Genomic DNA, 14959 nt, shown 5'->3' on the forward strand with positions numbered 1-14959 from the left:
AAGAAGAGCCAGCTCCCTCCAGCCCTGCTCCTCCAGGTCCACCTCAATCTCCCTATCCAACTTCAGCCTCTCACTTACCCCCTCCTAGAAATCCTCACCTGAGACAAGCCCCAGTCTCACTCTTGCCCTTCCAACAGATGCCTCAGATGCCTGGTGAATTTGACCCCAGTAAAGTCCAGATCCCCTTCTCTCTACAGGAGTTAAAGCAAATTAAGGGGGATCTTGGCAAGTTTTCAGATGACCCTGTCCAATATATAGAGGCTTTCCAGAATTTCATCCAAGTATTTGAACTCTTCTGGAGAGACATTGTTACTTTTGAATCAGACCCTGACAGACACTGAGAAGCAGGCTGCTCTGCAAGCAGCAGAGATTTGGGGATGAGCTTTGTATCACATACAGCATCAGGGAAGAGGGCGAAAATTATCCAACTGGAAGAGAGACAGTACTAATGAATTACCCTGGATGGGATCCCAATGGTGAGATGAGAGACTGGAAGAGGAGACAGTTTCAGGTTTGCATAATGGAGGGCGTGTGTAGGACCAGGACCAAGCCTCTCAATTACACTAAGTTATCCATGATTGACCAGGGAGTTGATGAAAATCCCACTGCCTTCTTGGAAAGGCTTAGAGAGGCCTTGGTAAAGCATCTCTTTACCTCCTGATTCAGTTGTGGAACAACTAATCCTGGAGGATAAGTTTATTATTCAGGCAGCCCCTGATATCAGGAGGAAGCTGCAAAAAACAGGCCCTGGGACCAGATAGTACTTTACATAACCTCCTGAAAGTAGCCATCTCAGTCTTTTATAATAGAGACAGGGAGGCCCAGGAAAGACAGGGGAAATACAGGAAAGAGACAAGGGCTTTAATATCCACCAGGCAAGCCCACAAACCCCAGAATTCCCAGGGTGTACCTGTTAACTGCTACAGATGTGGCAAGACAAGCAGACCAGCAGATGAGGGGTTTGAGCGGTGGGTGACCGAACAGGTGAGCCACTCCCCTGCCGCATGTCCTGTGAGGGAGATCAGTGATCTCTCTTGTTTCAGAAGGCTATAAAGCTTATGATGTAACAACTTCCAAAGTTACAAAGACACAAAGCCGCTCATCTCCCACTAAAGGATCATGGAGGGTAGAAGAATCAATAGACACAAGCTTGTATGCTTTTAGTCATATGATTTATTTTTTTCTGTGAAGTTGAAAGTTTTAAGTTAATGGTGAGTTTCTTGGTAATATCCTTTCTTCATCCGATGGCTTTGATTTTATCACTTGGTTACTGTTGCAGAGGAAATGCAGAAAAATAAAAATGTTAAATCTTCATTGTTAATAAAAGCTGTTATTTACTATTCAACTATTAGTAGAACACTTAATTAGTATAATGAGACACTGATTATACTGGTGAAGTCTGTGTCTGTGATTCAGGAAGTTTATAAATCTAAATTTATTTTCCATAAATGGATTGTAATTGCTACATTAAAAGGGAATATTACAAATTGATATTTATATTTTTAATTTACATAGTCTCTAAACTTTACATGGATAAATGAAAATCATCAACAAAGAGACAGAAGAAAAATATAAAGGAAAACCACAAAAAGGAAACAGAAAAAAACAGCAATATAAATATGTGAAAAAATAATAAAGAATTACTATACATTTTTCTCTATGTATCTGAGGAGGAAAAGAACTTCCAAAAACCCTCTGTGCATTTCCAGTGGGTTCTTAAATACACTTGTTCAAAGACAAACTAACTCTTCACTCCCCTCCACTTCCTCACCCCAAACCAAACCAGTTATTTCTCTACTACACAATGTGTCACTGGTAAAAGGTGTCACTATCCATTCTGTCAGAAGAGTGGAGGTTTTTTTAGTTCTCTCTTTTATTCTAACCCATAAACGTCCATCCAGTCACTACTCTAACAGATTGGGCCTCTGTCATACCTCTGAAAATGTTTTTGTGCTTTTCCTCCTCTCCAATCCTGTCCTCATCACACCTTTCTTGTGCATTCAGCAGTCTCTTAACTGCTTCACTACTTTCCATTTGTGACTGAATCTACTTTCCCTATTTTATCCCAGTGAAATTTGTAAACTGCAAGACATATAGTACCAAATCCCTTTCTTACCATCTTAAAAAGTACCTTACCTATGTTCTTAGTCATATAGAAGAATATTTAAACTCCTTATTGTGGCATACAAGATACTTATTTTGGCTTATAGTTACCTACATGGATTTTACATCTCAGCATTCATAAACTTGCAAATTCCCACACTTTGGGAGGCCAAGGCAGGTGGATCATGAGGTCAGGATATCGAGACCATCCTGGCCAACGTGGTGAAACCCCATCTCTACCAAAAATGCAAAAATTAGCTGAGCATGGTGGTGTGTGCCTGTAGTCTCAGCTACTTGGGAGGCTGAGGCAGGAGAATCGCTTGAACCCAGGTGGCAGAGGTTGCAAGTGAGCCGAGATCACACCACTGCACTCCAGTCTGGGCAACAGAGTGAGACTCCATCTCAAGGAAAAAAAAAAAAAGCCAAAATTTTGTAAATAAGGAAGGGTGGTTTTACTTTTTAGCCTTGCTATTTTCCTGCTGTATATCAATAGCCATATTATTTAAGCATTTTTTCTTACATTCTGCATCCAAACTGTCAGTACATTCTGTTGTGTTACCTTCAAAATGTATCCATAAGACCATCCTTACCACCCCTGGTCTGAAGCGCCATCTTTTCTCTCCTGGATTACTGCAGTAGTTTCTCCACATCTACTCTTGCCATCATATAGACTGTTTTCAACAAAGCAGCTTTTTAAAGGGTAAGTCACATGCTTAGAATCTGCACCATCCAGTGATTCCTCCCTTTCACTCAAAGTAAAAGACAGATGGCCTCCAAGAGTGCCAAGACCCTCCATGGGTGTTACTTCTCTGGCCTTATCACAACTGCAACCCTCTTGGTAACTCTGCTCCAGATAGAATGACATCCCTGATATTTCTCCAACATTTCTGACTTATTTTAGCATCATATCATATATATGTTTTGAAAGCTGCTGTGAAGATATTTGCATGGATAATGCCAGTATATGCCTGTGTGGGATAGATTTGATGTGCAGCTGGAATGGAAAAGCTCTATCTTTATCTCTGGGAAAGCCTGGATGTCTGGTTTTGACTTTTTCCCAGGATAAGGGGAGTAGTATTTATGATGAGCCATTTACAATTTAAAATAAGAAAGCTTGGGCCATAGCATCTCTCTAATTCCCAATGCTTAGTGGCAGATAAGGAAACAGAGACCCACTGACTTAACTATAAACAAAGTCAGATATGAGGGAATGGCAGCTAAGTAATTAGATGAACTGTTGATCTCCACTCTTGGTTGAAGTTTTGAATTTTCCATTTACTCCCAGTGATAGGCCTAACACATCAAATATAATTATTTCTTTACACATATGAATTAGAACTTTGAACAATATATATGAATGTATATTTATCCCATCTTAAAGATTAAAAAAAAAGTATCGTTCTGCCTTTGAAGAAAGGTGCATTTAACATTTTGCCTGGCATCTCATGTGTCTCAATCAATGTAAATTCCATTCCCAATCCCCAGTCATATATCAGGCTATATTTGTTCCAGATTGTGGCAATCTTAAGAGTTTAAATTCTGAAGTCGGATTGTCTTAAGTTAAACTCCACTACAATACTCACTAAAATTCTATTTTCCTGGGGAATCAATTTATTTCCTTTTATCCATTTCCTCATCTCTAAAATATGGGTAACAATACCTATGACATTTTAGTAAGGATCAATCATCGTAAATGTGGAGAGACAATCTGTGTAAATCGCCCAATGAGAACCTTACATAAGGCCAGAGGAGATAATGATTGTTTATGAATATTTTACAAAAATATTTATAATCTCTTTAACATCATTCCTTATTACAAAAATGTTGTTCAATAAATCTCTGGCTAAATATTAGTTAACATTAAATATTTCTAAATAAGTATAAAACATAATTAACATCAAATATATTTTCTTATCTTTGTTTTACTATATAGTATTAATACATAGGAGTCAAGATGATGAAATATGGGAATAATAGTTTTCTCATACTGAGGTATTGTTAAAAGTAAAAAAATACTCCATGAGTATTATTTCTTAACAATTTATTTTACGTCACCTTTAACTCTGTGACTGGCTGCTGTTACTACCGCTGTCTTCTGAGATAGATCTGTATAAAAGAGATAACATTAGGAAACACTGTAATCTTGAGCGAAATCAAGAAAAGTTTAAAAAGCTACATTTGCACTAATTAATCAATTAATATGTATCAAGTGGCCAAGTGCAAGCAGAGCAGTCAATTTGGAAACAATGGACATAGACAAGAAGGGGTGATGTCAATTATAAAGACTTCGAGTGACAAAGAGATTGACCTAGTTCCTGATCATCTGGTTCATTGCTATTTTGCTTCAGCCCTACTTCATTTCTTACCCTGGCAGCCCTGAAACCACTTACTGTTATAAAACTTAGGCTGTTGTGACCAGATTTTGTCAGTTTTAATCAATGATCCCAGTTATTCTTTCTTTTGAATTATCAAATCCCTACATATTCATAAAGCAAATTATGGTTTGATGTGGTGTTAGAGTTAAAAAAAAAAGCTGTGCAAGTACCTTACTTATAATTTCAGAAAAACATGAGCCATATTAATTATGCACAAAATACAAAGTATCCTATCTGAGTTCTCTCCCTCATTCTGTACCATCTCCAATTTTTCTTACCTTCTACATATTCTATTCACAAAATTTTCTTCCCTGACTATTTCTGTGGACCTTTTTGGCACAACTGGTTGTCAATGCAAGAGAAATGGGGTTCCTTGGGAAGTCAACAGAACTTCCTAAACAATTGTAGAAAACTTGGCTTTCTATGTGAAAGGCAATGAGGCTTTACTGAATAGCTTTAATTGTTCTTGGCCCTGTAAGAACAGGCAGGATACTTAGATGATTGAAATAAAATAAAAACATAAAGAAATAAAAAAATTAAAACTTTGCTATATGCTGAGAACTTACTCAATATTTCTTGTCTCACTCTGTTGCCCAGGCTGGAGTGCAGTGGCATGATCTCGGCTCACTGCAACCTCTGGCTTCTGGGTTCAAGCAATTCTCCTGCCTCAGCCTCCCGAGTAGCTGAGATAGCTGGGACTACAGGCACATGCCACCACGCCCGGCCGACTTTTTGTATTTTAGTAGAGACGGGGTTTCACCGTGTTGCCCAGGCTGGTCTCAAACTCCTGAGCTCAGGCAATCTGCCCGCCTCGGCCTCCCAAAGTGGCGGGATTACAGGCGTGAGCTTACTCAATATTTCTAAACATTAATCCAAACCATCCTAGAGTCTCTTCTTGGATTCTGAATTGCACTGAATTCTTCCCACAATGAATTTTAATATTAAATTAAAAATAATACATTTACTTACCTGCTGCTTACTGTTCCCACTTTGCTCCGAAATCTCTTCATTTTATTCCATTTAAGACTAACAATAGCAATTAAAATGAGCAAAGGTGAAAAAATGTAGAAACTGATCAAAAGACCATTGTTTTTAGGAGCAGCACGTCGTTTTGGAAGCAAGGGTACACTTTTTTCTGAAAACATGAGAGTACATTTTTAACTATTTGAAAAATGATGAAATCATACCAGAATTTGAATTATAGAAATTTAGAACTCAACACAGTTAAAGAATGAATATATTTGAATTTAAAAGTGTTTTTAGCCTTCTCTGACTGGGCCCCAAAGTGCATTATACATTGTGTATGTCAACTCAATACACTTATACATATAATTGACAATACACAGTCATTGGCAATATGTAATATTGTCATGAATGTACTTATTTTATTGACAGTAAAATTTTTATTCACATAAAATACATATTTATTGACATAAATTTACTTATAATCCCTTCATGTATACTTAATATTTACTTATATGATATAATCTATTTTAGTGTATCATATTTCTTTTTGTGAACTGCATTAAGTACATTCACATTGATGTGCAACCATCACCACCACCCTGCTTCAGAACTTTCTCATTCTGCAAAACGGAAATATTTTACCCATTCAATATTAACCCACCATTTTTCCCTCTCCCCAGAGGAGCCACCATTATTCTACTTTGACTCCATGAATCTGACTAACCTAGGTACTAATGGAAGCAGAACTCAGCACCGGCAACCACCATTCTACTTTGAGTCTGAGTTTGACTGCTCTAGGTACCTCATAGAAGCAGAATTGTATAATATTTGTCATGTTCTGACTGGCTTATTTCACTTAATCATAAGGTTTTCAGTTTATATCTACATTGTAGGGTGTGACAGGATTGTTCATTTCAAGGGTGAATAATCTTCCATTGTATTTCTACACCTTATTATGGTTATCCATTTATTTGTCAATAAACATTTGGGTTTTCCATGTTTTGGCTATTGTAAACAATGCTGCTATAAGCATGGGTATACAAATATCTGCTCGAGTCTCTGCTTTTAATTTTTTTGGGCATATACGTAGATGTGGAACTCCTGGATAATATGCTAATTCTGTGTTTAATATTTTTAGCAACCAGCATGATGTTTTCCACAAAGACTGCATTATTTTACATTTTCACCAGCAATGCAAAGAGTTCCAATTTTTTCATATCCTGGTCAACACTCGATATGCTTTGAATTTTTCTTTGTAATAGCCATCCTAATAGGTACAAATTGGTATTTCATTATGGTTTTTACTTGTAATTCCCCAAGGATTAGTAATATTAATATGTGAAAAACACAACTTTTTCTGTGCTTACTAGCCCACTCCACAGCTTTACATTTCCTCAAAGATGTATTAAAAGTATGCAACTACTTTGCCCATTTTTAATGAAATTATTTGTTTTGTTGTTGTTATTGACTTGTAAGAGTTCTTTATATATTCCTAATATTAATCCCTCATTATATAGATTATTTTCAATATTTTTGCCCATTCTATGGATTATCTTTTCACTCTTGATAGTATCCTTTGATGCACAACAGTTTGTAATCATGATGGATCCTAATTTATCTGTTTTTTTCATTTACTGATGGTGCTTTTGGAGTCATATCAAAGAAATCATTGCCAAATTCCATGTTATTACAATTTCCTATTATGTCTTCTGTTTTAAGGGTCTATAATATTAGTTCTTGCATTTAGATTGTTGATCCATTTTGAGTTAATTTTGGTATATGGTATCAACAAAGGCCCTACCTCATTCTCTTGCATGCAAATACCCAGATATCTCAACATGATACATTGAAAAGACTGAACTTCCTCCAGTAAATGGTCTAGGCATTCTTGAAAATCATTAGACCATACATGCGAAGATTTATTTCTGGGATCCATTTTTTATTCCTCTGGAAAATTTCAGCTTTCTTATATTTTTGTCCAATGTGATATATCAACTGTCAAGAAAGTACAACAAAGTCCTGGAGACTTCTGTCTTTCTGTCATAGCTTTTGTTGAACACATTTGAGAATTCAGCCTTTTTTTTTAACTGCTTGTAATAATATGAGGAAGACTATTGATGAAACAAAATATTATACAATTATTAATCTGACAAATGCAAAGAAACATAAAGCAACAGTTTAGCCTGTAATGATTATCTTAGTCTGTTCAGGCTGTTGTAACAAAAATATCATAAACTGGGTGGCTTACAAACAACAGAAATGTATGTTTCATCGTTCTGGAGGCAGGCAATTCCAAAATAGAGGCACTGGCAGATTTATTCTCCGGGCCTATTTCCTGGTTCATAATAATCTTCTCGTTCTAATCTTACATAGTGGAAGGGATGAAGGATCTCTCTTGGTTTTCTTTTATTAGAACACTAATCCCATTCAAGAAGGCTCTGCCTTCATAACCTAATTAGATACCAAAAACTCCACCTCCAGGTGCCATCACATTATGAATTAGGTTACATGACAAAAATGTTGAGGAATGCAAACATTTAGTCTACAAAAATGTTGCAGTTGACCATATAAATGAAATATCAGACTACAAATCTTTAGATGATGATATCCTAATTTTTTTCAAGTGAAGAATCAGTGAGTCAATGATATATTTCAAAAGACAAAATGGATACATAGAATTCTCATCCAGTAATCATATAATAGGAAGGACTTCAGCAAGCAATATTTTTCATAAATACCTGGGATTTCTTGGACTGTAAATAAGATCTAGAATAAATAGTATTCCAGCTTCTATGGAAGATGTTCATGAACATTTATTGGATATTGTTCACAAGTGGACACAGTGAAGTTAAATATTTATGCAGAGTTGATTGAATGGAGTCAGTGTAGGAGTTTAAAAACTGAGTAATTATTTTAGATGTTTATTAAAATGAACTGAAAATATTTTAATTATAGTACAAACAGGATAACATCAGGAAAACTGTGACCATCAAAGTTGTCTTTTGAAGATGTAAATGCACACACAAAAAAAGAATCACAAAGTATAGTCACCTCTAACCTACTAGAGATGTACTTCAAATGTTCCTTGCAGTCATAGAAAGGATATGTTCTAGATCCATGTTTGACAGCAGGAACTGTATTCAAAACACATAGAACACTTTAGTTATATACCCTTCAAAGACTAGAGTAAATACTGAGCTTTCTATATTTAAAATTTTTATTGAAATTTTTCATAAAGCTGATTTCACTACTTTTATTTCTACTTTTATATATTTCCTGTAATATGTTTTTTATATAAAAAATAGTTTTGGGCCTACAAGTTATAGGTAACTAATAAGGGTTAATTTCAGGCAAAATAGAATTCAAGAGAAAGATAAACATTACAGAAATAATAAAAGCAACAATGCACCAGAAATAAATCTAAACTACACATACAATAATGAAGAAACAAACTAACTGATAAAATGAAAAAAAGTACATAATTATGATTAGAATTTTTAAAAACTCCTCTCTTAGTAATTGATAGAAGTAAAAAGAAATCAGTTGGTCAGTTCCATGAAAAAGCATAAGCTACTTTAACTCATCTAATATGAAATAGATAACATTATTGTTTACATATTTATTAAGAAAATATTTATTTAAGAAAAATCTTTATTTTAAAAGCTCCCCACAGAATAAATCTCCAGACCCATATGAATTCACTGGACATTATTACTAAATATTTTTTAATGCTAATTTTAAGCAATCACTTCTAGAATACAGAAGAGGAGTAAACACTTCCCAATTCATTTTATGATATCAGTTTTAGTTGACAACAAAACAAGACAAAAACAAGTACAAGGAAGAGAGAGAGAGAGAGACAGAGACAGAGACAGAGAGAGAGGCAGGCAATATCTCTCACCAACCTAGACACAAAAATCCTCAACAGAATATTAACAAATCAAATTTAGTAAAGTACAAAAATTAATAAATAATGATGAAGAATTTATTCTATACTTTCAAAATTGGTTCAAAATTAAAAATCAATGTAATTGATCATATCAGTGGACTACAAGGTTCATACATTCCTATCAACCGATACTAAAAAGCATTTGAAAAATTAATACTGTTAATAACAAAACATCTCAATGAATACATATTAAAGGAAGTTCCTCAAACTAATAAATACTATCTACAAGAGCCCTACAGCTACCATCATACTTAATGGTGAAATACTAAATTCTTTTCTGCTAAAATAATTATTAAGGAGAGTTGTTTACAACTCTTATTCAGCATAGGCCTGGAAAGTCTAGGAAGTGCAATAAAATAATAAAAGTTATACATATTGGAAAGGAAGAAAGAAAGCTGTTATCTTCAAAGCTATTTGAAGAGGGCATAATCACTTACGTAGAAATCCCAAAGAACTTGCAAAAACAAAAAAAAATTCTCAGAAAACCGAATTCAATTATATTGGGAAATACAGGATTGATGTGCAAAAATCAATGGTATATTTGCATATTAACAAGGAACAAGGGGAAATAAAAACATAAAAAACACCCAACATCACCTAAAATTGCTCTAAAGATAATGAAATAAAAATGAAATAATAAATGCATAGGATATGGTAAAAATTACAATAGCCTGATGAAAGAAATCAAAGTAGATTTCTTTGATTTCTTTCATCAGACTATTGAAGAATCAAAGCAGATTTCTTTGATTTCTTTCAAATGGAGAGATATGCTGTGTTCATAGACTGAAAGACCCAATAATAATGAAGATGCAAATTCTTCCTAAATTGATTTGTAAAAATCACAGCAAGATTTTTAAATAAAGATAGATGAACTCATGCTAGTATGTATGCATATAGAGAAAGAAGAGCTCTGAGAATAGTTGTAGCAATTTTGAAAAAAAAAAAGAATTAAGTGACAGGAATTCCTTTTTTTCCCCCAATGTTAAAGAATGTGGTACTTGTGTATGGAATAAGACAAATCAATGGAACCGAACAGAGACCTAGTAAAATACCAACAAAAATATGTTTAATTAATTTTTGACAAAGTTGCAAAAACAATTCAATAGATGAGAGATACCTTTTCTAAAAAATTGTGCTAGAATTTTTGTAGTTTCAGGTCTTGGATTTAAGGCCTTGATCCATTTTGAGTTGATTTTTGTATAAGGTGAGAGATGAGGACCCAGTTTTATTCTCCTACCATGTGGCTTGCCAATTATCCCAGCACCATTTGTTGAGCAGGGTGTCCTCTCCCCACTTTATGTTTTTGTTTGCTTTGTCGAAGACCAGTTGGCTGTAGGTATTTGGGTTTATTTCTGGGTTCTCTATTCTGTTTCACTGGTCTATGTGTCTATTTTTATACTAGTACCATGTTATTTCAGTGACTATGGCCTTATAGTATAGCTTGAAATCAGGTAATGTGATGCCTCCAGATTTGTTCTTTTTGCTTAGTCTTGCTTTGGCTATGCAGGCTCTCTTTTGGTTCCATATGAACTTTAGGATTATTTTCGGTGAAGAATGATGGTGGTATTTTGAGGGAAATTGCGTTGAATTTGTAGATTGCTTTTGGCAGTATGGTCATTTTGACAATATTGATTCTACCCATCCATGAGCATGGGATGTATTTCCATTTGTTTGTGTCCTCTATGATCTCTTTCAGCAGTGTTTTGTAGTTTTCCTTGAACTCCTTGGTTAGGTATATTCCTAAGTATTTTATTTTATTTTTTGCAGGTTTGTAAAGGACTTGAGTTCTTGATTTTATTCTCATCTTGGTTGCTGTTGGTGTAAAGGAGAGCTACTGATCTGTGTACATTAAAAAGAACTCATTATATGAAAAAGATACTTGCACACACATGTTTATAACGGCACAACTTGGAATTGCAAAAATGTGGAACAAATCCCAATGCCCATCAATCAATGAGTGGATAAAGAAACTGTGAGATAAAGAAACTGTGAGATAAAGAAACTGTGTGATGACATATATATTTATGATGAAACACTGCTCAGCCATTAAAAGGAATGAATTAATGGCATTTGCAGCAACCTGGATGGGATTGGAGACTATTATTCTAAGTGAAGTAACTCAAGGATGGAAAACCAAACATCGTCTGTTCTCACTCATAAATGGGAGCTAAACTACGAGGATGCAAAGGCATAAGAAAAATGCAATGGACTTTGGGGACTCAGGGGAAAAGGATGGGAAGGGGGTGAGGAATAAAAGACTACAAATTGGGTTCAGTGTATACTGCTCAGGTGATGGGTGCACCAAAATCTTACAAATCACCACTGAAAAACTTACTCACGTAACCAAATACCACGTTTCCCCAAAAAGCTATGGAAATAAAAAATTTTAAAAAATATGCTAGAGTAATTGAACACCCATTTATCAAAAATTTAACTTTGATATATATCTCTCATCCTATATAAAATTACTTTAAAGTGTATTATGGGCTTAAATGGAAACCATAATGCTATACTTTTTAAATCTTCAGGTTCTAATACTCATAAAGAGGTCATATACTTGACACCAGAAGCACAATCCAGTACCTAAAAAAGTGCACCTTATCAAGTAAAAGTCATATAAAGAGAAATTTTATTCTGAGAAAAAACAAATTATAGACTTGGAGAAAATGTGTACAAATCACACATCCAACAAAATACATGTATTTGTAAAACATAACATCTTTCATAAACATGGCATTTTTTTCTTTTTCCCTTTTCAATTTCTTTCATCAGTGTTTAATAATTTTTATTGTAGAGATCTTTCACTTCTTTTAGTTTATTCCTAGGTAGTTCATCTTATTTGTAGCTATTGTAAATGGAATTGCTTTCTTCATTTGTTTTTCAGATTGTTCACTGTTGGCATTTTGTATTCTGCATCTTTACTGAATTTATCAGTTCTATAATGTTAAAATACCTGTACCACACAAAGCAATTTACAGCTTCAATGCAATTGTTCACAGAAATAGAAAAAATAATCCTAAAACGCATATGGAATGACGAAAGACCCAGAATAGTCAAAGTAATCCTGAGCAAAAAGAACAAAACTGGAGGAATCATGTTACCTGACCTTATACTACACAAAGCTATAGTAACCAAAATAGCATGATGCTGGAATAAAACGGATACACAGAAAAATTGAACAGAATAAAGAACCCACAAATGAATCCACGTAATTAAAGTCAATTTATTTTCAATAAAGGTGTCAAGAACATACACTGGGGAAAGAACAGTCCCTTCAATAAATAGTGCTGGGAAAAGTAGATAGCCATATGCAGAAGAATGATGCTAGATCCCTATCTCTTGCCATATACAAAAATCAAATAAAAATGGATTAAAGACTTAAATCTAAGACCCTAAACTGTAAAACAACTAGAACAAAACACTGGGTAACCTCTCCAGGACATTGATTTGGGCACAGATTTCTTGAGTAAGACCTCAGAAGCTCAGGCAATCACAGCAAAAATTGACAAATAGGATCACATCAAGCTAAGAAGCTTCTACATAGAAAAGGAAACAATCAACCAAGTGAAGGGACAACCTACAGAACCAAAGAAAATATTTGCAAACTACCCATCTGACAAGGGATTAATAACCAGAATATGTAAGGAGCTCAAACAACTCAATAAAAAATTAATTTTAAAATGGGCAAAAGATCTTTTAGACATTTCTCAAAAGAAGACATACGAACGGCAAACAGCTATATGAAAAGGGACTCAACATCACTGATCATCAGAGAAATGCAACTAAAAACTACAATGAAATATTATCTTATCCCTGTTAAAATGGCTTTTATCCAAAAGATAGGCAATAATGTGAGAATGTCGAGAAAGGGGAGCACTTGGTACACACTGTTGGTGGGAATGTAAATTAGTACAGCCACTATAGAGAACAGTATGGAGATTCCTCAAAAAAACTAAAATAGAATTACCACAAGATCCAGCAATCCCACTGCTGAGTATATATCTAAAAGAAAGGAAATCAGTGTATCGAAGAGATATCTGCTCTCCTGTGTTTATTTAAAGCAGCATTATTCACAGTAGCCAAGATTTGGAATCAACCTAAGTGTCCATCAGTGGATGAATGGATAAAAAAATGTGGTACATATACACAACCGACTGCTATTCAGCCATAAAAAGGATAAAATCCTGTCATTTGCAACAACATGAATGGAATGGAGGCTATTATGTTAAGTGAAATAAGCCAGGCACAGAAAGACAGATGGTGCCTGTCTGTTTTAATTCATATGTGGGAGCTAAAAACAACAAAAAAATTGAACTCATAGAGAGTGGAATCATGGTTGCCAGAGCCTGGGAAGGGTAGTGGGGATGGGGGGATAAAAAGGGAATGGTTAAGGTTACAAAAATACAGTCAGAAGTAATAAGGTCTGGTGTTCAGTAGCACAATAGAGAGACTATAGTTAACATTGATTTATTGTGTATTTTAAAATAACGGAAAGAGTGTGATTAGAATGTTTCTAATACAAATAAATAATAAAGGCTTGAGATGATGGATACCCCAATTACCATGATCTGATCATTACACATTGCATGTCTAACAAAACAGCACATGTACCCCATGAACATATACAACTATTATGTACCCATAATAATGAAAAATAAAAATTAAAAAACATAATATCTCTCAAAACTGAACATTTAAAAAACACAAACAATCCAATGAGTAAATGGTAAAATGTATGAACAGACTTTTCACTAAATAGAATATACAACCGAATAAGCATATTAAGGATGTTCAAAATCATTATCCGTGAGGAGGTGCAAATGAGATATTAATAAACAGCTAATGGAATGATTAAAATTCAAGAAAAAACAGTGGTACAATCAGATGTTGGTGAGGGTGCAAAAACGTGGTAATTCATATATTGTTGGTGGGACTGTCAAACAGTACAGCCATTCTGAAAAAATATTTAGCAGTTGCTTTTAAAATTATAAGTAGTTTACAATATGTCTCAGCTATTTCAGTCTTGTGCATATATCCCAGACAATTAAAATATTATTTTCACATAGAATCTTCCACATGAATGTTCATCTCAGTTATTCATAATAACTAAAACTGGAAACCACCCAAATGTCCTTCAGTGGATCAAAGGCTAAAAAATTATGGCATATCCATACAAATGAAAACTAGTCATCAATAAAAAGGAATTAAGTATTGGTACATGCAAGAACTTGGATCCAGTTCAGGGAAATTATGCTAAAGAAAAAAATCCAGTTGCACAAATATAAAAACCATATGATTTTGTTTATATAACATTCATAAAACCATGTAATTAGAGAGACAGAGAACCATTTAATGGTTGGAAGGAGAGTTAGAGATGAGGGAAAAGAAAAATATCTATCTACAAAGGGGTAATGTTAGACAACCATGTAGTGATGATACAGCTATGCATTGTCATTGTGATAGTAGTACATAAATCTAAACTGTGATAAAATTGCATAGAACAAACACACACACAAACACACAGACACACAAATGAGTGTAAATATACTAGAGAAATCTGATTAAG

General features: G+C 34.4%; 1 pseudogene across 4 annotated transcripts in view; it reads right to left on the reverse strand.

The window, feature by feature from the left end:
* Positions 1-1153: 1153 nt before the first annotated feature.
* ADAM3A (ADAM metallopeptidase domain 3A (pseudogene)) overlaps positions 1154-14959 on the reverse strand; it is a 71945-nt pseudogene continuing 58139 nt past the window's right edge. For all 4 annotated transcript variants that reach the window (NR_001569.3, NR_024106.2, NR_024107.2 and 1 more), the window contains 3 exons: positions 5448-5613; positions 4159-4209; positions 1154-1270 (listed from right to left, as the gene is read on the reverse strand). The product of NR_001569.3 is annotated as an ADAM metallopeptidase domain 3A (pseudogene), transcript variant 2 (transcript). The remainder of the gene's footprint in view (positions 1271-4158; positions 4210-5447; positions 5614-14959) is intronic.

Source organism: Homo sapiens, chromosome 8, assembly GCF_000001405.40.
Source record: "Homo sapiens chromosome 8, GRCh38.p14 Primary Assembly".
Taxonomy (NCBI): Eukaryota; Metazoa; Chordata; class Mammalia; order Primates; family Hominidae; genus Homo; species Homo sapiens.